Here is a 25,434-nt window from a genome sequence, read left to right as displayed (position 1 = left end):
GTTATCTTCATTTTGTGGTTGAAAAAAATGAAGTCACTACAATTTACTGCTTTTGTGTTAAATTTAACTGAAATAGATCAAAATGCCTATGCTTCATTTGAAATTTGGTGTTTCAAAAATAAAACTTCATATATATTTAAGAGATCACAGAGGTTAGGTGCAGTGGCTCACGCCCATAATCCCAACACTTTGGGAGGCCAAGGTGGGAGGATCACAAGGTCAGGAGTTCGAGATCAGCCTGGCCAATATGGTGAAATCCCGTATCTACTAAAACTACAAAAATTAGCTGGGCGTGGTGGTGCATGCCTGTAGTCCCAACTACTTGGGAGGCTGAGGCAGAAGAATCGCTTGAACTCGGGAGATGGAGGTTGCGGTGAGCTGAGATTGTGCCACTGCACTCCAGCCTGGACGACAGAGTGAGACTCCGCCTCAAAAAAAAAAAAAAAAAAAAAAGAAAAGAAAACAAAAAACAAACTAACTAAAAAAGATCACAAAATTAAGGTTTAAATTCTGCCACAATTAAGAAAAACATGACTATTAAAATCCTACATTAAGTTCTTAGTGATCATATTATAGAATGTGGCCATGCAGTCTACTAAGTTCTATGTATTAAGTTGTTATTAGATAACCAAATTAATATTAGATCTTTATTTACATTTATAAGACAGTGAGAAGAACCCATGAGGTTACTGCACGTCCAGACACTTTCATATCATTTCCTCAAATATTCCATGAAGTTAGCAACATTATCTCTATTTTGTATAAGAAAAAATAAAAACGCATTAAATCAAGTTTAAAACAAAACTTTTCTGGCTCTCTAGTTACCCTACCTTCAAGCTAGTCACCTTCACATTCCTGTAATACTCCGTATAGCAGCTTTCAGCTAACAAAAATAGGAGTCACATGTGGTAGTTTTTAAAACAGACATGTTTCATTATTGATTCATCTCTCAGAAAAGCCAGTTCAGGTAGTATGTACAGTTAAACCCCTAGGACTTCTTACTGAATTAGTCTTCAAATTCAACATTTCATCCTTCCCTTGATGGATATAAAAAGACGTTAATGCATTTTTAAAATTTAAAAATTGTTTAAAGCAGACAACATATATCTGACTATATGAATATTTTGTCTCTACTTACAATTAGAAATGCCATAAACATCTACAAACCTATTTGATATCAAATAAACAAAGTAGAACCTAGCCAAGCAAACATCTGATGATTTGAAATTCCTCGTACATACTTATGCTGTAAGTCTGGTTGCTCCGAGTGGCATGAATGCTGCTCTAATCTGCTCCAACATCTAAACATGACATTCTAACAACCAATCTGAAAAACTACCTTTAGTGGTTGATTCTGTCTGCTTATTCCTTCCTCTACAACCTAGAGAATATGTTCTATTGTTCATAATACTCTTTCCTCAAAGATGTGTAATTTGTAATAATTTAAAATATAAATTTAGACAGATTTACTTGACAATTTGGTGCATGTTCTAAATGGCACTTTGAATTTCATGAGAGCCTTAGTCAAGTCATTTTCCAGAGAGTTATCTTTAATGTCTATGCTAAATAAATAACATTTACACACAGGACAAAATCATCATAGGTTTTTATCCAAGTAAAAAAGGTAAAGAGGTGCATCTACTATTTCAAATTCCAAAATCGAGCATCTACATATAAGAAATCACCTTGGTTAATTTTTTTCAAGATTATCCCTCTTTAAATAATTGCCAAATCTATATTGGACAGAACAGACACAAACGTGTTTGTGCAAATTATCTTTAAAAACATAGTATGGCTTAAAAGTTATCAATTATTTCCACATCATAATATATGAACATATTTTAGTCATTATTCTGCCTTAACCATTGTTCTTAGTTCGAGTGAACACAAGGTACACCTACTGGCACTATAAATGAAATTACTCTGCCCCAAATAAAAATAGAGTTTTAGGATGCTATTGAAGGAAATTAATTTCTAGGAATTTTGGCAAGGACAATAAACATTAATATAATTCCAGACATAAGATTTGCAGAGTTTATCTCTACCCTTTATATGCTAGAAATTTATTTATTTTAGAAACCTTATCTGACTTGGAGGAAATAGGCACAACTTGCTCCATTCTTTCTATCACACAAAAATATGTCATTTTCAAAAATTAACTTCTTATAAATCCAGTAAACAATTTCTTTAGAAAGGTAAAGTCTAGCCGGGCGTGGTGGCTCATGCCTGTAATCCCAGCACTTTGGGAGGCTGAGGCGGGCGGATCACAACGTCAGGAGATCGAGACCATCCTGGCTAACACGGTGAAACCGTCTCTACTAAAAATACAAAAAATTAGCTGGGCGTGGTGGCGGGCACCTGTAGTCCCAGCTACTCGGGAGGCTGAGGCAGGAAAATGGCATGAACCCAGGAAGTGGAGCTTGCAGTGAGATTGCGCCACTGCACTCCAGCCTGGACGACAGAGTCAGAAAGGTAAAGTCTAACCTCTGCTTTAAGAGATCACAATAAAATTAAAGTTTAAAAATTGCCATCATTAAGAAAAACAAAGAAGTAATTTGTACAAATAAAAATCTAAGTTGCTTGTACAGTGAAAAAAATGAAACATTTTCAATAGAGCAAATCTATTGCTTAACAATCATCCTGAGCTACAAACTAACATGTACATCATCCTGCAAGTCATACCAATTACTCACTTTATTTACATTAATGACAAGTATAACATTTACCAATTACAAATCTACAGGTTTACTTGTTGGTAGTAATTGAGTTTTTCCGATAGGATGTTTTGGAGAACCTTTGTACCAGGCCCTTCCTCTTTCTGATGGTCTCCTAAGGACCCTGTTATTTATCCCAGAAGAAATGCCCATGTTGTTATTTACAACTGGTTTTACTATATCATGATTAGTCAGATCATCCAAGGGAACCTTAACTTGGCCATCAGATAAGATCTTCTGTTTATAAACTGTAGTAGACCTAAGAGAAGCATTCACTGAATCTGGGTGCTTCCTCATCTTTAAGAAAGATTTCGAGGGTAACTCCATGCTTGACTTTGAAATTGCACCAATATTTGACTCTTCACATGACATGGACTTCTGTTCTTTAGGACCTGATTTGATACATGAAACAGAGGAATCTTTTGATGCACTTTCTATACAAGAGGAAAGAGCACCGTCACAGCTCACTGATTTGACCAAAGGAGAAGCTGTATCACCAAGACTCGCCAACTTATGCCCTGTAGGTTGTCTGCTATACTCCAACAAAGAATTAATTCTTCTGACGGACTGACGAACAGGAGTACGCTGAAACTTAAGAGGTGACTTGACTTTTATTCTATTTGGTTCATTTAAAGAAAGCTTGTTAAACCACTGTATGTGATCAGAAACCTTTCTATGTTCTGTCATTTGTGAACTTTCAGAAACTGTTTTCTCACATGTTTCCAATGACTGCTGTTTAGCAATTCTCATAGGCCTAGGTTTTGACAAGTTTGTTACAACACATGTACTCTGCTGTGAGAAAGAGGATCTAGCCTCGTCCTTGCTATGTGCTGCACACTTCGGTAAGTTACCTTCCATCATATTCTCATTCTCTTTTAATTTATTATTTAGTTTATCCTTTGGGGACTGCTGTTTCTTTATTTCTTCATCACTGGAGAATTCTTGCTTGCTTAAATAATCTTTTGGCATATTTGAATGAATGTCTTTTTCATGTTCCATCTTCATCTGAGTTGAATAACATTTTATAGTTGTTTCTCTATTAAATGTTTGAGTTTGAAGGGGTGAAAAGTCCCTCTCTGAAAAACATTTTTCACCTTTACCAGTGTGGTGTTCATATTTCTCCTTTGATTCTACTATAGTCAAATCATTAGTTTCAAATAGATTTTCCTCTGGGCTATCTTCTAAATAAGATGGTTCAGTTAATTTTACTTTCCCCACATTAGTTACTGATGACTGCCTCTGATTCATCAATGCGTGAAGATTACTTCCAGATTCAGAAAACGCTTTTTGAACTTTCACCAAAGTCTCTTTGGTCATGTTATTTTCATCCCCGCTAAGAGGGCTACTTGTTATGTTGCTATTATGCTTATTGTTTAAATTGGAAGGGGTGAGTTCACATGAAGTAGCAGGTGACTTTTCTACCATAATATCAGGCTCCAAAGAGTTTTCTACCTCAAGATTTTCCACCATTGAAGAAGCTTCATTTGCATCTACTTCTTGAAAACTTGAATTATTAGGTCCTGTCCAAGACATCCGGTAATTTGTTCCAACTAGTCGCTCTGGAGTTAGTAAGGTTTCCTCAGACTTACTGATCTTTTCTGAACCTAAAATAAAGCAGTTCAGTGCTTAATCCTTTGTATTTAACCTTGTTTTGAAATAATACCCAAGCACATGGCAAATAAGTCACTAAGCATTTAATTCTAATAAAGTATTTGTGTTACAAGAAATAATTTTTAACATAAGAATGTCAAACATTTTCATATTTACATGTATAAGCATTTCCCAATTGTTGATAGAAAAATACATTGCCAATTCTAATATTTTCACTATTCAAACATGAACTTTTAATCTCTAGAACAGTAAATTAATTAATATGTTTTGCCATTAAAAAAGCAACTAAAGCAGGATTTTTAGGTAAAACTCTAACAGTAGTATGTAAATGTACCTTTCTTTGGTAACTTTTCATCAACATCTGGGCTAAAAAGCAAACCTGTTTTTACAGATTCAATTCGATTTTTTAAACTTTGTTGATTTGCAAGTCGCCAACCAACACTTTCATATCTATTGACACCAGAACATCCATTCTGTACAGAAAAAAAAAAGTTTTAGTTAAGAAATAAGCCTAGTTAATTCAAAATATAAAGACAGAATAATTTTTTGTAGTTATCAAAATCTTTAGCTGATTTAAAAAGGGATATATAATTGAGAAACAATTCTTAACAATGACAAACATTCTTGCCTGCTAATGAAAACTGTAATCATTTGATTTTGCTATTAGTTGATATTTTATGATCTATTTTTAAAACAGTCTCACATATTAATTAAAATAATTTCTGTGTGTGCTCTGACTCTGTGCTAGGGCCTGTTCACAAATAGTTGGGGCAGTGGGGTACCTAGACCAAAATCTTATCCTTATGTAATTTACATTCTATTTAGATGGGGAAATTTAGACTTAAGATAAACAGTAAATTATATTGCATAAATACAATATACAAGGTGAAAAGTGCTACGGAGAAAAGTAAAACAGAGTAAAAAGGATATGGAGTGGTGAAGAATGGAGGTTTAGTTTAAAATAGGGTGATGAGGAGATAATTTGTGAGTAAAACAAAACAAAGGTGAGAGCCATGAAGATTTAAGGGGGAAGAACACTACAGAAAGAGCAGAATGCCAGTGCAGTCTCTGAGACTGGAGCAGAGTGAGCAAGGGGGACTGGAGGAGAGCTCAGAAATGCAGCCTGAGAACAGATCACGTGAGGCCTTTGCAGGTCAACATGAGAACTCTGGCTTTTATTCAGAGTGAAACGAGGAGTCACTGGAGAGTTCTGAGCAGAAAACTACATAACCTAACAGATTTTAAAAGATAAATTTCAACTACAGAACTGCAGCAAGGGTAGGAGAAGGAAGAACTATTAACAGGAGTTTACTAGAGTAATCCAGCTGAGAGATGACAGAACTTAGAGAAAGTGGGAAAAGTAGTAATAGTGAGAACTGGTCAGTTTGGAGATACTCTAAAAGCAGAAGTTAGACAAGATTCTCTAATGGATTAGACATGGTGTCTCAGAGAAAGTGAGGAATCAAGGATTTGACCATGGTTTTTGGCTTAAGTGACTGGAAGAACGATTTGCCATAACTGAGATAGGGAAAACCACAGGTAAAAGTGTTGTTTGGTGCAGGGCATAGCAGCAGCAAAGAAATCCATCTGCTTGGGACAGGTTACATTTGAAATGCCTATTGGATTAGATATCCAAGTAGGAGAGTCAAAAAAGCAGATGTTAAGAGACAGCGGAGTCATTCAGAAGAGCATTTGGGACTAGAGAACATAAACTTGGAAGTTTTAAGTAAATACAGGTTGGGCATTCCAAATCTGAAAAGCCAAAGTTCTGGATGCTCCAAAAATCCAAAGCTTTTAAGTATTTGACATGATGTTCAAAGAAAATGCTCACTGGAGCATTCCAGACTTTCAGATTAGGGATGCTGAACTAGTAAAAATAATGTAAATATTCCAAAATCCCCCCCAAAAATGGGGAATCTGAAATACTTCTGGTCTCAAGCATTCTGGATAAGTGCTACTCAACCTGTATATAATGTTTAAAACTGATGATCACCTTGAGTGAGTGGAGAGAAAAAAGAGAAGTCCAAGGACTAAGCTTTGGGTACTCCAATGCAAGGAAATTTGATATCAACTCAAGTATAAGAGTTTTGGATAAAAAGAACAGAATGAGACAGTCACTGGAAGGAAGGTAGGGCTATGAGTGTTTTTTAGTATCAAGTTTATAGCGTTATGCTAATATAAAGATCAATAAAATGGTAAGAAACTTACTACTTCTCTGCCATTTTTCCCTAGATTGAATTTCAAACGCAGAGATCTTCGAACCTTTTCTTTATGGCTGATTTTAGGAGAAAAGCAGCCTGCTTTTCCTGATTCCACTCTAGAAGAAGTGGAATTAAAAATGTCAGTTTATAGTATAAACACCAGAGAAATACTTGAAATACGAAATTTGAAATAAAGTCCACAGCAAATCATATTGATAATAATTGGATGGATTAATAATTCTTTAAAAACAGTTCAACTTTAAGATACCATACATGAACACACTGCATTTGCATAAAAAATGATCTGCTAATCTTAAAAGTTAGTCAGTCAGTTATAACTCAGAATTGTTAGAATAGGCTAGCTTTTTAACCTAACAGGAATTTTTTTCTTTGTTTTTTATTTTTTGAGACAGGGTCTCACTCTGCGGCCCAGGCTGGAGTATAATGGCATAATCACTGCTCACTGTAGCCTTGACATCCCTGGGCTCAGATGATCCTCTCACCTCAGCCTCCCAGGTAGCTGGGACTACAGGCATGTGGCACCATGCCTGGCTAATTTTTGTACTTTTTAGTAGAGATGAGGTTTTGCCATGTTGCCCAGGCTGGTCTTGAACTCCTGAGCTCAAGTGCTCCACCCACCTCAGCCTCCCTAAGTGCTAGGATTACAGGCATAAGCCACCGTGCCCAGCCTCTAACAGGAAATTTTAAAATTACACCATCAACATAAAATAGGATTTTAAGCAAGCAAAGCGGACTCAAATTAGTAATTTTTCTCTGGTGGGTATTGAAAAGGCAATTGATTAATAAGACTATAAAGGCAGAAGGGATTTTAAAAAATTATGACTCAAATATGATGCTTGACAGAAAGACAAAACATTTTATTAATTATGTGTACACCAAATATTTATCCGATGAAAACAAAATGTCCTGGATAAAGTACCTGCAAACTTTTTTGCCTGCAATTCTTTTACTTCGCCTTGGCACACCTGCAGTGATCAAATGGTTTCCACCAATGAGTACAGGAGAGAGTGAACTCTGAGATGACCCTTCTGAGCTTGTATCGATGTGAACTACAAAAATAACCACATGTAATATACCACACATATCTATTTTCCTTTTAAAGTATAAAATAGTAATAGCAGCAATTAGATTCAAAGCCTTAATTTCTATCCCAAGCAACAACCGAAATCACTTAATTTCTGGTTAGAAACTTCAAGTGTCAAATAACCCAACTCAGCTAAGAAAAAGCATTCATTTTTTACTTTTGACTTGCCAATTAAAGGTCAGCTTAAGCATTACTTTTATATTAGAGCTTTTCTTTAAACTCTGTTAATAATACAAGGCAGGGATAGGCACCATTGCAGACTGGAAAAAGAACAAGATTTGGAGACAGGCTTGAGTTTGCTCCATCACTTACTAAATGGCTTTAGGCTCTGAAAACGGACTTCTATGATGAATATTACTGTTATCTATATAAAATATTTAGTCAGTATCTAGTACATAATACCAATTAATGGTATTATAAAAAATAAGCTATTGGCAAACAAGTTGGAATCTGAGTATTTGAGATATACCTGCTGGCCAACTGCTACCCACCTGACTCCGGAATGTAATTTGTTCAATATTTTTGGCAAGTAAACAAAAACTAATTATTCTATAACACATTCCTAATCCCTTGGCTGCTGCTGTGTTCCATGCAAATAATTACTGGTACAACAGAAGCTCAATTATTTAACACCATTTATATTATGAAATCAACTATAGTAAACAATTACGAAAGAAGTAAAATAGTTATGAACAAAGGCTCCATATACATTTATGTTTGAATCACGCCCAGGACACATTCAACAAACATGAACCCTCTCAATTCATCTGAGTTATTAATAAAGAATTCACAAAGTTTCCCAGAGACATTCACATTTTTTCAATTATGAAAACGGAAAAAATACAACCACCTTAGAAACTTTTGGGTGCATTTAGCTAAAGAAAATTTTGGAAGCCAATATTATACATCTAAAGTGACATAAGTAGCTTTATTCTAGGGCTGCAGTCTAGTCACTTTAAAAATGTGTCCGGCCAGGCACCGTGACTCACGTCTGTAATCCCAGTATTTTGGGAGGCTGAGGTGGGCGGATTGCTTGAGGCCAGGAGTTCAAACCAGCCTGGCCAACATGGTGAAATCCCATCTCTACTAAAAATACAAAAATTAGCTGGGTGTGGTGGTGCATGCCTGTAATCCCAACTACTCAGGAGGCTGAGGCACAAGAATCACTTGAACATCGGAGGTGGATGTTGTAGTGAGCCAAGATCATGCCACTGTACTCCAGCCTGGGAGACAGAGCGAGACTCCGTCTCAAAAAATAAAAATAAAAAATGTGTCAATGGTCGCAGGAGGCACAGTCAGAATATATGGAACAATGCAAATTTATCACATCTGTAAGAAAATTATGGCCAGGCATGGTGGCTCACACCTGTAATCCCAGCACTTTGGAAGACCAAGGCAGGTTGATCAGCTAATGTCGGGAGTTCAAGACCAGCCTGGCCAACGTGGTGAAACCCCGTCTCTACTAAAAATGCAAAAGAAAATTAGCCAGGTGTGGTGGTGGCCACCTATAATCCCAGCTACCTGGGAGGCTGAGGCAGGAAAATCGCTTGAACCTGAGAGGTGGTGGCTGCAGTGAGCCGAGATTGTGCCATTGCACTCTAGCCTGGGCAACAAGAGCAAAACTCTGTCTCAAAAAAAAAAAAAAGAGACAATTATGAATAGATACTCTATGGACTACAGACTAATGTTGCCTTTATATATTTTTAAAAGCATCATATTTGTTATAATCTAAACTTAGAAATCAATCTATTTTCAATTTTGCAAATGGAATTTGTTGAATTGTGGCTGAGAAAGTAGGGTCAAAGAAAAGTGGTGTAAAAATAATACGATTACTATTGTTGAACTTTTAAATTTTTTTATAAAAAAATTCATTGATTAGGCAAGCTCAAACTAAAAATAGCACAAGACTGTTTAACCTCTGTTTTGGGAGCTTGGAGGAGGAGAAGAAGGAATCAGTATGTTCATTCCTTGGGGAAAATGTAATGCTAATAAGCAAAGGCAGGTAGAACTACAACTCCCATTTGCCATTTGGAAAAAGTCCTCCAAACTGCAAAGGATATATTCAAAAAAAAAAACAACTGAACTATGTTACTTAAAAAAGTTTAAGTCTCCAACCTGTGAACACTGCAAAAGCTACAGACATAAGCTTCAGAGTTACTATCATCACATTTCAATGAGCCCTAGAGAACCTGTGAAGAAGTGTTTTTTTCTGGAAAACCTCAAGTTGCTATTCTGTTCAACTTCTCAATAAAACAAATAAGAACCCTTTTGGACAACAGAAAAAAGAGACAGGCTTTGGGAAGGAACTCATATAACTCAGATAATGAATCAAAAATGAAACTTAACATTGTCTGAAACCAACAAAATAAAAAATCTAAAATAATCAGAGATCACTCACATTTTGACTAAATGTAAGATAAATGAGATGGAGGACCCTGGGCTTAGAGTTTCATTTCATTTTTGGTTGATCGTAAGGTTAATATGAGCCAACTTGAATTCTGTATATGCTAAAAGAGCCAATTGAATCTAAGACCCAGACTAATCTCCGGATTAGCATGATCATACTCTATTACTCTCTGAAGGCTCTGGTTGGCCACATTAGAACTTGTAGTTAATATGGAAGAAAATGGCTGGGCTGGTAAGGGATCTGGAAGCCATGGCACAAGGAACAGCGTCAACAAAGTTCTAAAGCTTTTACAAAAGGTACTTGAGTCTAAAACTTTAAAAATACCCTCATTTTCAAACCATAACCTGCAATAGTAACGCTCCCACTTGGGAATCAGACATGATCAAACATCTGGCAACCTCAATTCAACAAATGACAGCAATAAAGCCACAGCTATAGACCCAGATGTAACTATAGCAGGATTCAGGATGTCTAATCACATAAAACCTAAGCATCAATGCTATCACCAGAAGCCCAAACTACTACTCTGGGTTATCACAACTTTCAATAGATGTTGTCATAACACACACACACACACACACACACACACACACACTATATTGAAACAGTGTCTATTTTAAAAGGCAGGGGGTTTTATAAAAATTCATAGGTTGGATAAAACAGAATAAAGTTCTAGTTCCTAAGGGTGGTATTATTAATATGAAATTGCACTGTGCCCAGAATAGGCACTCATTTTAATCTTTACAATCCATTTATATAAATTCTATTTGCTACCTGATACCGGTGTAGAACTGCTATTGAAGAGATTACTTGGCAACAGCTCAAAGTTAAAATTGTGCTTGATGGACTTCCTTTTCTTACTTGAGAAACCATGAGAAGAATCTACTGGCAATGTACGCTTAGCATTTGGTGTAAGAATCACTGGTGATTCAGATAGCTGGGCTGAAAAAATATCAAAACAAAACCAACTTGTTTCTACTGCAGAGTTGACAACATATAAAAGCTTTACATAATTTCTTCTTATAAAGCTATTACTTAGAGCTAAACAAAAAATGAGAATATATTTACATCATCAGTTAAGTAGATGTTGTTTAACTAAAACACTCTGCAATTACTTAAATGAAAATAAGGAAGTCGCAGAGGCAAGACTCTTAAGAGACAGCAGTTACTTAAATCTAACAGACTAAAAGATGCATATGATATACATTAAAGAATATTAATGTAAGGAAGAAATTACAATCAAGGAGTTGAAACAAAAACTAATCTAAATATTATTTTTGCTTTTCATCATAAGTGAGTATTAACCAGTTCATTTCTTCACTCTAGAAAACAGAAGATCATGTTGACTCTTACTGGCTGAATAATTTCAGCCACAAGCAAATTAGAATAAAAAATTGAAATATACAATAATGAACTTCTAGTCCTAAGATAAAAATGAGGTTGAACTATTTTCACACGCTTAATAGCATCTAAATTACAAACAGAAAAGCATGATTAAGAAGATTAAAGACAGGAGACTAAAAAAATTTTTGCCTACAATTTTGGGTTCATTATAGCCTATGTAATTAGCAATGTCACAACATAGTGTGTATAGTACAGTATGACTATTAAAAATAATATTTGATTTGATTAAACTAAATTTGATTACTAAGTTAGGTAATTATTATTGTAATTGTATTTTATAGAATACTATACAAATTTTAATTTAAATAAATGCATATAATAAATACCTACCAATTCTTTCTTCTTGAGGTGTAATAGAAGGTGTTCTGTTAGGTTTAAATTTATTTAGTGCTCCACTAACAAAATCTGAAATGCAAGGCATAAGCAATTACAACTTCACATTTACTTGTCTTTCACCAATAATTCATATTAATATTTGCAGTCTTCTTTCAACATGTAACTTTACATCGGCTTATAAATTTTAAGTTATTTAAGAGGAATTATTTCAAAATAGGAAAAATACTAAAGGATATATTTTTATTCCATTCCCCACTTATACTTCCATATCCCTAAAATAAAAAAGACACAATACAGAAAGAAATGTAATACAAATACATATAATGTACAGTAAGGGTAGGGAAAAAGAAATCATTACATGTTAAGGCAAAAGATGAAGGTCTGAACTGAGGCAAGAACCATGGAAATGGAGGCACGAATAAAAGTATTTAAAAGATCAGTAGAGATGGAAGTAAAAACATTATATCAATAAATAGTGTAAGCAAATGAATAAAAGTGTCTGGAAAATAAATAACATAGTTTGACTAAAGTTGCTCAAAGACAGGAAATAGTAGACAGGTATGCTAGAGCAATCCTATGAAAGACCTTTAATGCCAAGCTATAAATATCCCTATTACCAATTAAAATTTCTGAAGGGTATGTGTGTGAGATACTTGAGTAGAGTTATACATTTAAAATGTAAGCCTTGGCCAGGTGCAGTGGCTCACACCTGTAATCCTAGCATTTTGGGAGGCCAAGGCAAGCAGATTACTTGATGTCAGGAGTTAGAGACCAGCCTGGCCAACACAGTGAAACCCCCTTTCTACTAAATATACAAAAATTAGCCAGGCGTGGTAGCGTGCACCTGTAATCCCAGCTACTTGGGAGACTGAGGCAAGAGAATCGCTTGAACCCAGGAGGTGGAGATTGCAGTGAACCAAGGTAGCATCACTGCACCCCAGCCTGGGTGACAAAGACAGACTCCGTCTCAAAAAAAAAAAAAAAAGTGAGCCTTAATAGCAATATGTAGGGTAGATTCAAGGAGGAGGCATAAAGACCAAGAAGATTCTTTTTTTAATTTTTATTTTTGAGACGGAGTCTCGCTATGTTGCCCAGGCTGGAGTGCAGTGGCCCGATCTCAGCCAACTACAACCTCCGCCTCCCAGGTTCACACCATTCTCCTGCCTCAGCCTCCCAAGTAGCTGGGACTACAGGCGCCCGCCACCACGCCCAGCTAATTTTTTATATTCTTAGTAGAGACGGGGTTTCACTGTGTTAGCTAGGATGGTCTCGATCTCCTGACCTCATGATCCGCCCACCTTGGCCTCCCAAAGTGCTGGAATTACAGGCGTGAGCCATCGCGCCCGGCCAAGAAGATTCTTACAGTAACAATGCAATAAACACTACGGAGATAGAATCTTATACGACATGAAAACTGTCTGATTATAGATGGTAGAGGAAGAGGTAGAACCCATGGTTAAAGCCTGAGTATCTAGGGAATAGTGGTGCTGTTAGAAGAAAATGGAATTCACACAGAACCAGGATAAAGAGGATAAAGATGGTCATTTCAAAACGTTAAGCTTAAAGCACCAATGAAAAGCAGATGTGATGAGGTCTCCCTAGCAAGCCATTAGTAAAGTGGAACTGACATTTTCAAGATAACGGTGGTACAGATGTGGTGGTTATCTATTTAGATGTGATAACTGAAACTACAGGACTGGTGATAACTGAAACTACAGGACTGGGAAAGAGGGCAATAAAGATGATCTGCATCTGAGAAATATCTCCATTGGGGATAGGAAGTTTTATGGGTTGCATTGTGTTCTCCAAAAAACCTATGTTTAAGTCCTAACCCCCAGTTCCTATGAAGGTGACCATACTTGGAATTCGTGTCTTTACAGATGTACTCGAGTTAAAATGAGGTCATTTGGGTGGGCCCTAATCCAATGTGCCCTGTAAGAGGGAAGTTCTGACACAGAGCAACATCATAGGATGACATAGGCAGGGATTGGAGTGACGCGGCTGCAAGCCAAGGAATGCTAAGGACTGACAGCCACTACCAGGAGCCAGGAAGAGGCAAGAAAGGATTCTCCCCTGCAGGTTTCAGGCATTCTGCCAACACCTTGATTTCAGACTTCTAGCCTCCAGAACGGTGAGACAAATTTCTGTTGATTTAAGCCACCTAGTTTGTAGTACTTTGCTACAGTAGCCCTAGGAAAATCATACATAAGTCATCAGTATTATCCTATCTACAAAGGAGGTAAAGAAGAAACACAAGTATGCAATAACAAATAAACCAAAAGATGAAAAAGGGATTGGGATAGTTAGTAACATTTGGTTCTGATATTCAAAAGATAATAAATTTCCTAAAGTAATTGGAAGAATAATGGCCTCTGACTTCTTGATCAAGGAGATTGCAAGTTTTATTACCAACTCTACCATCTTATGATGGTCTTTTGGTCTTTCTGATTCTTCCTTGATAATATTTCCTTCATTATTTAGTTCGTACTCCTAACTAATCCATGTCACTAACAAGTTCAAACAATAATCTGATGCCTGGACTACTGACACACATTGCTGACCATTCTCCCTACTTCCAAGTCTCAATTCTTCAAATCAGGTAATTTTCTAAAATTTTTAAATCATATCATGCCTCACATCATAAATCTTCAATGATTCACCAACACCCAGGTTAATATTCTAATTCTTTAGCCTGGCATTAAGTTTACCATAATACCATCCTTTATCCTTATGCTGAACACTTCACTCAAGTCATACTGCACTATCTACATTAGACATAGGTTACTTCTTCCCTACACAAACCTTTCTTCATAGCATCCTTCTCATCTAGAATAGGATACAAGTATTCTGATCCTCCACCCAATCCCACTAAATTCTATCCATTATTCAAGAAGGTTCAGTTTGGCTCCTCTTTGACAAGTCCCTGATAATTACAATCCAGGGAACTTTTCTCCTTTTAACACATTTTATGTTTGTGCTAAAGATGTAGCACTTAACATTAGATTGTACTATCGCTTTAACTTTTTACACGCATACGTCCTATCTTTCCAGCTGTGCTTTAAGCACCAAAAAGGCACATACCACAGTTCATGCTTCTTTATGTGAAATGTACTTTCGATTAAAGCAAATCACTGTACCTCCATAAAATGGGACCGCCACTTACCTCCTACACTTTGTCTTCTCTTTCTCTTATATTCACCAGGAGTTTCATATTCACCTTCTTCAAAGCCTTCCAGTGATGGAGTAGCACAGAGACCATCAATACCCAACATGGCTGGTATCTTTTCCAGGATAAAATCTGGTACACGCCCTAAATGAAAATGTTCACAAGTAAGACAATTATTATCCTTCCTCCACTCTTCCCCAAAAATGTTTAGATACTAATATACCAATTTCTTTTCTTTTTTTCTTTGCAGGAGGGGCCGGTACTGTAGGGTGGGGGTGAGGTCAGTAATATACCAACTTTCTAACAGTTGCCTTCATAGTTCCTTTGAAAGAAACAGAGATTTTCCTCATTTAAACAAATTCTGTTAATAATGCAACTACATCTTACCAATATCTGATGCATAATCGATAAGAGTCTGTACTACTGCAGCCTGTAATCGTAGCTTCTTTTCTGTGTTAGAAGACATCTTTTCATGTCCTTCACTTGTCTGAAGAAGATTCGGTGCAAATATTACTGCAAGATTGCTGCTGTCCATCTTATTCTCACTGGATCTTAAGTGAATAAACGCTTTATTAGATGGAGCCAAACGTGAAAATACAGAAGAGTTAAAATAACGTATGTAGTACATTTTGAAGACCTTATTATCAGTCATACACAAGTCAAAATAGTTACCCTTCATCTACATGATTGGCTTGAACACAAGAAAGAACCAGAAATATATAGCCTCTCTATATTTAAATATGTATTCTAAAAACCATGCTAATCTTAGAGTTCATACTTTGCTTTTCCACACAAATTGAACATCTTTATCTGATTTTCAGACCTACACATAAAAAGTTGGAAGTATCAGAAGGCAGCAAGTATGTCTAGAATAAGCAGGCTCACTGACAGCAGGGAGAGGGAAATTTTGAAAAGCAAAACAGAAATATTTTAAAAACCCAGTAAACAAAGGCTTTCAGTGGACAATGAATCTTATAAACACCAATGAACCATTAAGGCATTCATGATGATGACTTTAAGATAAGGAAATATTAAATCATTTGGTATGCTGTTTCTTAAATTGGAGTATACTCCTCATAGTAATGAAATATGGAATTTTTAAAGAAAAATTTCCATTCCAAATGAAATTGTACATATCTACAAGCATAAAACGTTAGTTGAAAAATTCAACTATTATTTGCCAAGAGTTTTAATTACCACTTACCTAAGAGAAACATTCCTGAGAAAGTTAAAGAAGTATCTTAATACATGAACTGTGTGGTCAGCCAGAAGACAGGAGAGCAACAGTGTAGCTTTATTCTTTTCCTCTGTGCCTAACTGTTGAGCTTTCAAAAGTGCTTCATGCAAATCAGCTGGGAGAATGGGCTCTGGCAGTTCCCTAAAAAACTGCTTAAGAAGTCCCGCAATATCACAAGGAGGTGCAGAAGATAGGCAACCTTCACCATGATCCACTTTATTCTGAAATAAATATAATAATCTTGAGTATTTTGGCAACTTAAGAGTTTATTGCAAATAAAGTATCTTTTGTTATACTCTAATTACACTTTTCTTTAATAAATTTCTCTTAACTCTTATTTTAATATATGTCACTACTTTATTTTTAATGATTTTTGAATTTATTTTTATTTTTATAGAAATGTGGCACAGACTATGTGGCCTGGGCTGGCTTCAAACTCCCAGGCTCAAGCAATCTTCCTGCCTTAGCCTCCCAAGTAGCTGGGACTACAAGCATGTGCCACCACACTCAGCTCTATCACTCCTTCTAGAAGGCTAACAACAATATAACTTAACACATTTTTTTCATTTTACATAATACTTGATAGAAATAAGGACCATGAATTTAAAAGTACCCTATTAAATTTTTAAAGCATGATAGAAATAATATACCATTTCTTTTGGAAAAAAAAAATCTTCTGCCATGAAAAAAATGCAAATTCAATTTCTGTCAACTATTCATATTAATAGTTCTAAATATTTCAGTTTTAAAAACCAAATCAGAAAATGGCTCAAATGAAAAATTAATAGTTCAACAATATGCTCACCTTTAGTGCTTTTAGGCGAATCACAGATCCTGATTTCCGAAAAAGCCCTTCGGTATGAATATGGTCTTCTAAAGATGTGCAAGCATCGACAAGAAAGCTGAAAGAGAGATTTTTTCAGGTGGCTAGACATACATATCACATCCTATTCCTCTGCTAACATACATGAGCAGGCCAAGCACTACGTACCTTTCAGAGGCTCTAAAGCCACAAATCTCTGTAGTCTTTGAGATGAAATGTTACTTTTAGTTGTCTACTGGCTTCCCAAATTCTTCTCCAAGGCCCATCTTTTTACTTCTAACAACTCCAATGTGCACACTAAATTTTATCTTTCTCAATCCTACTTCATTTCTGCTTCCCTTCAGAGCGTAAGACTTGTCTTTTTTTTCTGCCTCTACTTCTTCATATCTCAGTCTCTACTCACCCCTATCCAATCATTCTCATACCTCATTACTCCAAAGAAATAGCTCTCTTCAAGCTCACTAACAGCCTCTGCCTTGCCAAATCCATGGTCAGTGTGTTGTCCTCGTATTGCTCGATCTATCACCATTTGACACACCTGATCCCTTCCCTGTTCATCTCAAAAATACTTTTTCACTACTCTTTTAGTTTTCCTGCTATCTCCCTGCCTGCTCCTTCTCAAATTCCTTTTCTCACTCCTCTTATGTGAAACCTCTACATGCTGGAACAACCCAGGGCTCTGTCCAAGGCCACCTTCTTTTATCTACTATCTCTTCATGGGTGATTTTCTCATCTCCTACATCACCCAAAAACAGGGCGAGGTTTTTTTTTCCTCACCCCAACATTATCCCTCAGAAAAGTAGGATATATCCCAGTCCTTACAAGCCTTTTCATATTAAGGGGAATGTGCTCAATTTCTTTATTTTGAACAATGTTCAAATAAATCTCAATGTTGGCTTTAGATACCTAGATATTGAACAGCTGGGACCCACAAATTAGAATGAATATCGGCTACCAACAATTGATACAGCTGTATTGGTGCACAGTGGCTGAATGTCAGCCTTATTTACAGAAGGTAACTGACAAAACAGTCTTTTTAATTAAATAAAAAGTAGGTCATGAAATTACAATGAAGATATAGTCATGATTCCTGGGAATATGACTTTGCAATTCCAGACGCCGAAAATCTGCTTTTTTTTTTCTTTTAGTTTTTATTTTGAGACAGGGTCTCGCTCTGTCACCCAGGCTGGAGTGGTGCGATCACTGCTCACTGCAACCTTTGCCTCCTGGGCGCAAGTGATCCTCCCACCTCAGCCTCCCGACTAGCTGGGACTATAGGCACACATCACTACGCCCAGCTAATTTTTCTATTTTTTGTAGAGACAAGATTTCACCATGTTGCCCAGGCTTGTCTTGAACTCCTGGGCTCAAGCAATCCACCACCTGGGCCTCCCTAAGTGCTGGCATAACAGGCATGAGCTCCTGTGCCCGGCCTGTTGAAAATCATTATAGGTGTTCATTATAAGAAAATCAAGCCTTTCATAGGTCATTTAAAGAGCAAAATGGTTAAGCGGTTACCTAAGAAGACAGTGAATCTACACCTATAGGATGAATGGGGGGAAACTGTCCTAAGGCAACCAGGTGTTCGATAATTGCTTTTGGATGACATGTCAATTAAAACCTAGATTATTGGTCTATAGTAGCCCAAATGAACCCTACTTTAGATGGAGGGGAAATGAATTAAGGATAAGTTTCACCATATGCATTTTTAGATTACATTCTTTTTTTTTCTTTTTTTTTTTTTTTTTTGAGACGGAGTCTCACTCTGTCGCCCAGGCTGGAGTGCAGTGGTACAATTTTGGCTCACTGCAAGCTCCGCCTCCTGGCATGCCATTCCCCTGCCTCAGCCTCCCGAGTAGCTGGAACTACAGGTGCGTGCTACCACACTCAGCTAATGTTTTGTATTTTTAGTAGAGACGGGGTTTCACTGTGTTAGCCAGGAAGGTCTGGATCTCCTGACCTCGTAATCTGCCCGCCTCGGCCTCCCAAAGTGCTGGGATTACAGGCGTGAGCCCCGGCGCCCGGCTAAATTATATTCTTAAAACATAAACTTTCCTAGTAAGTTCTGATGCAGTTAGAATAGGCCAGCACAGTGGCTCACGCCTGTAATCCTAGCACTTTGGGAGGCTGAAGCAGGTAGATCACCTGAGGTCAGGAGTTTGAGACCAGCCTGGCCAACATGGTGAAACCCCATCTCTACTAAAATACAAAAATTAGCTAAGTGTGGTGGTGGACACCTGTAATCCCAGCTACTCCGGAGGCTGAGGCAGGAGAATCACTTGAACCCAGGAGGTGAAGGTTGCGGTGAGCCGAGCTCACGCCATTGCACTCCAGCCTGGGCGACAAGAGTGAAACTCTTGTCTCAAAAAAAAAAAAAAAAAAAAAAAGAATAAAAGGTTATTTATAAATAGTAAGTGGCATAGAAAAGCTAAGTGATACATTTTCACAAACACTCTAATATCTTAGCTTAAATATTCTTTTATCCAATATTTGTTTTCAAGAGACATGGTCTCACTCTGTTGCCAATGCTGGAGTGCAGTGGCAATGAGCATAGCTCACTGCAGCCTCAAACTCCTAGGGTCAAACAATCCTCTGCCTCAGCTTCAGAGGTAGCTGGGACTACAGGTGCACACCACCTTGCCCAGCTGATTTTTCTTTAAAATTTTTTTTATACATGGAGTCTTGCTTTGTTGCCCAGACTGGTCTCAAAATCCTGGGCTCAAGCGATCCTCCTGCCTCGGCCCTCAAAATGCTGGGATTATAGGCATGAGCTACTGTGCCTGGCCAATATTTTTTTAACAAACAAAAAAAAGTCAAAATTATTACTGAATTGGTAAGTCAGTATATTACTTAATCTGAGTTGTGGCAAAAGAATTCACATAGAACTGAAAACTGACTTAACAGAACAAAAATTTTTTGTGATTTCTAACATTTACTCATTACTGGACTTTAAAATTCAATCCTGGGAATGAGTACAAATTATAAATTTAAAATATGTAAAAGTTAAAAAAATATTTTTAACATTATGAGAGATTAAATCATTTGCTGGTTTGAAACAATTATGTTTTAATCAACTATTTCTTTTAAACTCTCTAAAACCAGTTTGAAATGCTTACTCTCTTCTTCTTCATTTCCCTGGCTAGAAGGCTCACTGCAGCCTCCACCTCCTGGGCTCAAGCAATCCTCCCACCCCAGGCCCCTGAGTAGCTGGGACTACAAGTGTGCTCCGCCAAGCTAATTTTTCTATCTTTTGCGACAAGGTCTCACCATGTTGCCCAGGCTGGTCTTAAGCTCCTGGACTCAAGTGATTTGCCCACCTCGGCCTCTCAAAATGCTGGGGTTACAGGCATATGCCACTGCACCCGGCCTTCTTCATTTCAAACTCTGCTTACCTTGGAATGTGTCCATATTCTGGTACAGCAGAATGGGGCAGTGCATTAAAAGGTACTCCAAATATTTTACCCTAAAATGACAAATTCAGTTACTCTAACACAAATATTAGGCATAATATCAGTTTTCTTAAACTTTAGGCAAATTAAAGAACTCAGGAAATTAAAAAAAAATCAGAAATAAATGATAAACTATCTATCAAGACAAAAATAATCATTTCAAGTGCATTTGATAACAAATAATTACTATATTAGACAGTATGCTGAGTGCTGGGAGTACAAAGATGGCCAAGATAATGTCATTCCCCTCAAATAATCTAGTAAACTCAAGTTTCCAATCTGATCATAAAGTCAATTTGGTTAGTGGTTAGTCAGTAAATTCTTAAAACAGAATTTGGTCCAAAACACTAACATTTACCCCAAAATACTATAGGTTGCTTTAATGACCTTATAAATACTTACTAGATACTTTCTTTTGGTCACCTTATAAATACTTACACAAAAGACTAAGTCAATTGAAAAGCAAAACACTAATTCCTGTCATTCATTGAGTCTTCCTAAAATTACATCAGAAGAAGTTATTTTTATACCTAATACATTTTCCACCTTCTATAGAAGAGTGCTTTTCAAACCATGCCCTGCAGTAAGCAAGGCAGGAGTGTGCAAATATTTAAGTCAAACTTCATTTAACTAGCTGGAAACCCATTTTTAAAACCTCACATTCAAATTTTAATACACTGAAGATCCCAAGAGTAAAGCTGTGTGTTGGTTAACTTGAATGTTTTTGCACACTGAAGAATAAAGAATCTGCCACTATCTTTGTGCATGCATTCGAACCTCTTAAAAATGTGTCGCTTTCCACAGCACTGAAAGGTAAATTCAAGCCTGTAAATGTCTGGTTATTCAAACTTAAGTGGGTATGCATAATCTCACATGTTAATTTAGTTTACATGCATCTGCTCTGTGAATGCTGAAGTACTTTTTTTGATGTCACAAGTTATCAACCAAGAAGTATTTATGTTTTATGAGCATTATATTTAACTTTATATTTACAATAAAAACCACTCAGCATTGTCAATGACGCAACACAGTAACAAAATTTTACTAATTCCCTTTCAAGCACCTGGCTCCAATTAATTTACAAATATTGTAAGCTGAAAAGACAGTATAGTATAGTAAGTGCTTAAGAGAGTAGGCTCCTGAAGGCAAAAATGACAGGTGTATTTTTTTTGAGAGGGAGTCTCACTTTGTGGCCCAGGCTGGAGTGCAGTGGCGCAATCTCGGCTCACTGCAAGCTCCGCCTCCCGGGTTCACCCATTCTCCTGCCTCAGCTTCCCGAGTAGCTGGGACTACAGGCGCCCGCCACCACACCTGGCTAATTTTTTTGTATTTTTAGTAGAGACGTGGGGCGGGGGGGGGGGGGTTTCACCGTGTTAGCTAGGATGGTCTCGATCTCCTGACCTCGTTATCCACCCGCCTCGGCCTCCCAAAATGCTGGGATTACAGGCGTGAGCCATCGCACACACAAAAATGCCAGGCTTTACATCTTAACTCTTGCTTAACAGCTGAGTGACCTGGATCAAATTAACATTCTGTTCCTCGGTATCCTCACACAGATCCTAAGTCATAGAGGTGTAGGAAGAATTAAATAAATTAAAACATACAAAACACTTGTATCAGTGTCTGACACACAGTAAGCATTCAAAAAATATTTGTTAATATTATGATCATCATTTTAAGCTGAACTATTTTAAAAAATGTTAGTATGGGCAACCCCTTTATTGGGTAAATCAGAATTTTCTTGATACTGTGCAGCCAAACCAAATGTAAAAATAAACCAGATACTTAAGCTGGTAAGTCTACTTCTGCTATATATAACTAGAATTCAGCGTGTTTTTTTCCTTAAGTCTTATTATTTAGAATAACTGGCCTCACAAGTAACCACTATAATTTAATCTCATAAAATGTTTTTAAAACTTAAAACTACAGTTAGCTAACAAACACCAGTCGGCTAAAGAAATTGTTTTCAAACAAACTATCCCATTAGATCTCCTAACACAATGATCTTCTATATTTCTTCATTAGAATATTCTTATAAGTGTTTCTAGCTGAATTTATATGGCATGATTACCAATTAGGAGGCAGACCAATGATATGACAACTATCATTAGATGAAGAAGTGGCATGTTACCCGCACTGTGCTAGGCCTACATAAAGAGCTTCACTTTTTAAAAATCCCTAAATAATCCAAGGAGAAATACGTTCCCACTTTATATATATAAAACTGAAGCTTAGGGAAATCAAACAAGCAGCCCAAGTTTACAGATGTAGTAGGGGTGGAACAGCACTCAAACTCAGGTCTATCTGACTCTGAAAACAGGCAACAGTTTTTCTTGTTAAGCGGTGAAAAGGCCGAGTGCAGTGGCTCACGCCTGCCATCCCACCACTTTGGGAGGCCGAGGCGGGCGGATCACGAGGGCAGGAGATCGAGACCATCCTGGCTAACACGGTGAAATCCCGTCTCTACTAAAAAATACAAAAAATTAGCCAGGTGTGGTGGCGGGCGCCTGTAGTCCCAGCTACTCGGGAAGCTGAGGCAGGAGAATGGCGTGAACCCGGGAGGCAGAGCTTGCAGTGAGCCAAGATCGCGCCACTGCACTCCAGCCTGGGCGACAGAGGGAGACTCCATCTCAAAAAAAAAAAAAAAAAAGGAAAAGAAAAGAAAAGGGGTGAAAAAAAGTCCATATACAAACTCTTCCATATACTTACAAAATCAGCTACATTTGAGATCTTGGAAAGCCAGTTTTACAATCAGAAAAAAATCACTGTAGCTTTTTAAATGTAAGTACATGTATTGCCATTAATTTGCTACCAACAAAAATAACTTCTCCAAAGTTTATCAGCGATTAAGAGGCACACATATTACTTTTGTTAGTGGTTTTCTTCTCCAAGCACTTTTTTTAAGAAACCATAAACTATTAAAAGCAACGTATATTAATTTTATTAGCTTGTCTCCAAGTACTAGGAAGTACCATATAAATTAGGCACATAAATTTAAAATAAAATGCTTTACATTCAGCTTATTTTTCACAATGGAATTCCTGATTATGTGGCAGAGCTATTAAAATCTCATTCAAAATCCCTTTATTTCAACCACCAAAACATCAACAACTTCTCAATTATTCCACTCTGGCTTCTCAATTTACTCATACAAAAAAAAATTTACTGTCCCAAAAGTATGACATGGCCAAGCAGCAAATCTGTTTCCCAAATTAGTGAATATGCAGTCATCATTTGAAGCCTATTTCTAATGTTCTGTCATACTTCTTCATCTACAGATTCATGTAGAAAATGCACTGGTCTCCCTTGTCCCTCTACAACCTTACTCTAAAACAAGGGTGGAGGGGTAGAGTTTTTGTCCCTCCCAACGTACTACCTGTTCCAAATACAGTAAGCTGGCAATATCCGGAGACATTTTTAATTGTCACAACTGAGAGATGCTACCAGCATCTAGTGGGTAAAAGACAGACATCCCGCTAAACATCCCACAATTCACAGAACAGCATTTCGTCTTCCCCTAACAAAAATTATCTAATCCAAAATGTCAATAGTGCTGAAGTTGGAAAATCCTGCAACTTTCTCTCAATGATCAAAAATCCTTGGGGGAAAAAAAACAAGAATGTCACTTTTTAAATATCAGCAATCGACCATCTGAACTGAATTACACACCTAACCATTCTTTTTGATACACAGAGTGAACATTTTAGCACGATCTGGTAGTAAGTGATGATAAAGGGTGTGCCCTTTCTTTTAAACCTAAATCCCTTTTCACAGAACTTACCCCTATTTCCGTGGCTGCTGTTTCATGTCTCCTGCGATCGCACTGCCCACGGACACCCTTCACCTTAATACCATAGAAGGCCCGCAGATGCTGCAACAGGGCCAACCTCACCAGCCTCTGATCCCACATTCCGGATACGTCGATAACTCTCTGAGGCAGGATGCAGGTCCTGACCCTCGTTCGCCACCAAGTCTTCCAATTTCCAAACGCTCTCAAATTTGAACTCCGCTCGGCTGCTTTCCGGCCCCGTCTGGCACTTCTGCGGCCCCGACCCCCGGCCACTTCCACGGCTTTTCCTTGATCCTCACTCACATCCACTTACACAGACCCGCTTCTCTTAGCCCTTTGATCCAGCCACACCTCACTCTTCCTTCACTTACACCGACCTTCTTTCTGGTCACCCAATGCTTTCAGCTACTCACATAGACTTCTTTCTGATTCTTTCGGTTTCTCGTCTATTGCCAGATTCTCTCCACTTCTTGCTACTTCCAACGATCCCCCTTCCTCCAAACCTTACTGTCCCCGTCTGGTTCGCTCTGAAATGTGAAGAAAACCCTTCTCGCTCCTCCAGCCCCAGCAGGCTCAACTGGGCGCTCGCCCCCGCCCTAGCCTGGCCGCCGGACCAGCCGGCTGCTCAGGCAACTCTTCCAGTCCCGGTGCCCGCCCGGGCTGGTAGCCGCCGTCACCCCGTCTCACAGGCTGCTCGTTCCCTCCCCCATCAGCCTGCCTCTACCTCCCGGCCTGCACATCCCGGTGCGTTCACTGAAGCCAAGCCGTTAGCCTCATGCTTCCGCCCCCAGCTCCTCCGCAGACACCCAGAGCCACCACGGGGGGGTCACACCCGCAGTTTCAGCCCAGGCTCAAATGGCAGCGCGAAACAGCGCTCCACATCTGATTGGTCCACTCCTCTTTTCAAAATCAGGACCCCGGAGGGTGGCCGAGAGCTGCCTGTCTAGATAAGTGCGGGCGAAGGGGTGTAACGGGCAAACCCAGCAAACATGAAAAGCAGGATGAGTTTCACTTGTTCCTTCAAGGCCAGTTTTTGGGGCGGGGGAATACTGTTTAAAGGTTTTTAAATACACCTGACCTGCGCCTCAGACCATTCACAGTATTTGAGGAAATATAAAAGACAACTTATTCCCGTTCTTTTCCGAGCTTGGCTGTCGCTGAAGGCCCTCTTATGAAGAAACCGTTCTTACG

General features: G+C 37.9%; 2 protein-coding genes across 5 annotated transcripts in view, besides 1 other annotated feature; both read right to left on the bottom strand.

The window, feature by feature from the left end:
* ARHGAP11A-SCG5 (ARHGAP11A-SCG5 readthrough) overlaps positions 1 to 25,099 on the bottom strand; it is an 81,623-nt gene extending 56,524 nt beyond the window's left edge. Inside the window, exons 1-9 of the mRNA NM_001368319.1 lie at positions 24,235 to 25,099; positions 20,397 to 20,467; positions 16,987 to 17,083; positions 16,149 to 16,402; positions 15,332 to 15,495; positions 14,942 to 15,088; positions 11,773 to 11,847; positions 10,813 to 10,980; positions 7,467 to 7,596 (exon numbers count right to left, since the gene is read on the bottom strand). Of these exons, the coding sequence (NP_001355248.1) occupies positions 7,467 to 7,596; positions 10,813 to 10,980; positions 11,773 to 11,847; positions 14,942 to 15,088; positions 15,332 to 15,495; positions 16,149 to 16,402; positions 16,987 to 17,083; positions 20,397 to 20,467; positions 24,235 to 24,363 (1,235 nt within the window). The 5' untranslated portion in view covers positions 24,364 to 25,099. The remainder of the gene's footprint in view (positions 1 to 7,466; positions 7,597 to 10,812; positions 10,981 to 11,772; positions 11,848 to 14,941; positions 15,089 to 15,331; positions 15,496 to 16,148; positions 16,403 to 16,986; positions 17,084 to 20,396; positions 20,468 to 24,234) is intronic.
* ARHGAP11A (Rho GTPase activating protein 11A) lies at positions 634 to 25,431 on the bottom strand. Of its 4 annotated transcripts, NM_001286480.3 has the most exons (13): positions 24,968 to 25,071; positions 24,657 to 24,770; positions 20,397 to 20,467; positions 16,987 to 17,083; positions 16,149 to 16,402; positions 15,332 to 15,495; positions 14,942 to 15,088; positions 11,773 to 11,847; positions 10,813 to 10,980; positions 7,467 to 7,596; positions 6,534 to 6,642; positions 4,660 to 4,798; positions 634 to 4,318 (listed from the first exon to the last, which is right to left on the bottom strand). In NM_001286480.3, the coding sequence occupies exons 6-13, from the start codon at positions 15,477 to 15,479 to the stop codon at positions 2,730 to 2,732; spliced, it is 2,505 nt and encodes an 834-aa protein (NP_001273409.1). In that variant the 5' UTR covers positions 15,480 to 15,495; positions 16,149 to 16,402; positions 16,987 to 17,083; positions 20,397 to 20,467; positions 24,657 to 24,770; positions 24,968 to 25,071; the 3' UTR covers positions 634 to 2,729. The 4 variants fall into 4 exon arrangements, with proteins under 4 accessions (NP_001273409.1, NP_001273408.1, NP_055598.1 ...); NM_001286479.3 differs by lacking the exons at positions 24,657 to 24,770; positions 24,968 to 25,071 and adding an exon at positions 25,322 to 25,431; NM_014783.6 differs by having other exon boundaries at positions 24,235 to 25,071.
* Positions 23,498 to 25,434: part of a non allelic homologous recombination region, noted in NCBI's record as "15q13 distal microdeletion recombination region, recombines with the 15q13 proximal microdeletion recombination region", that runs on past the window's edge. NCBI's record gives the evidence for it as "EXISTENCE:DNA microarray evidence [ECO:0005524][PMID:25326701]" and "EXISTENCE:nucleotide sequencing assay evidence [ECO:0000219][PMID:25326701]".

The sequence above is a fragment of the Homo sapiens genome, chromosome 15 (genome assembly GCF_000001405.40).
Source record: "Homo sapiens chromosome 15, GRCh38.p14 Primary Assembly".
Lineage (NCBI taxonomy): Eukaryota > Metazoa > Chordata > Mammalia > Primates > Hominidae > Homo > Homo sapiens.
The sequence above is the reverse complement of the archived record's forward strand: the minus strand, read 5'-3'. Positions and strand labels throughout refer to the sequence as shown.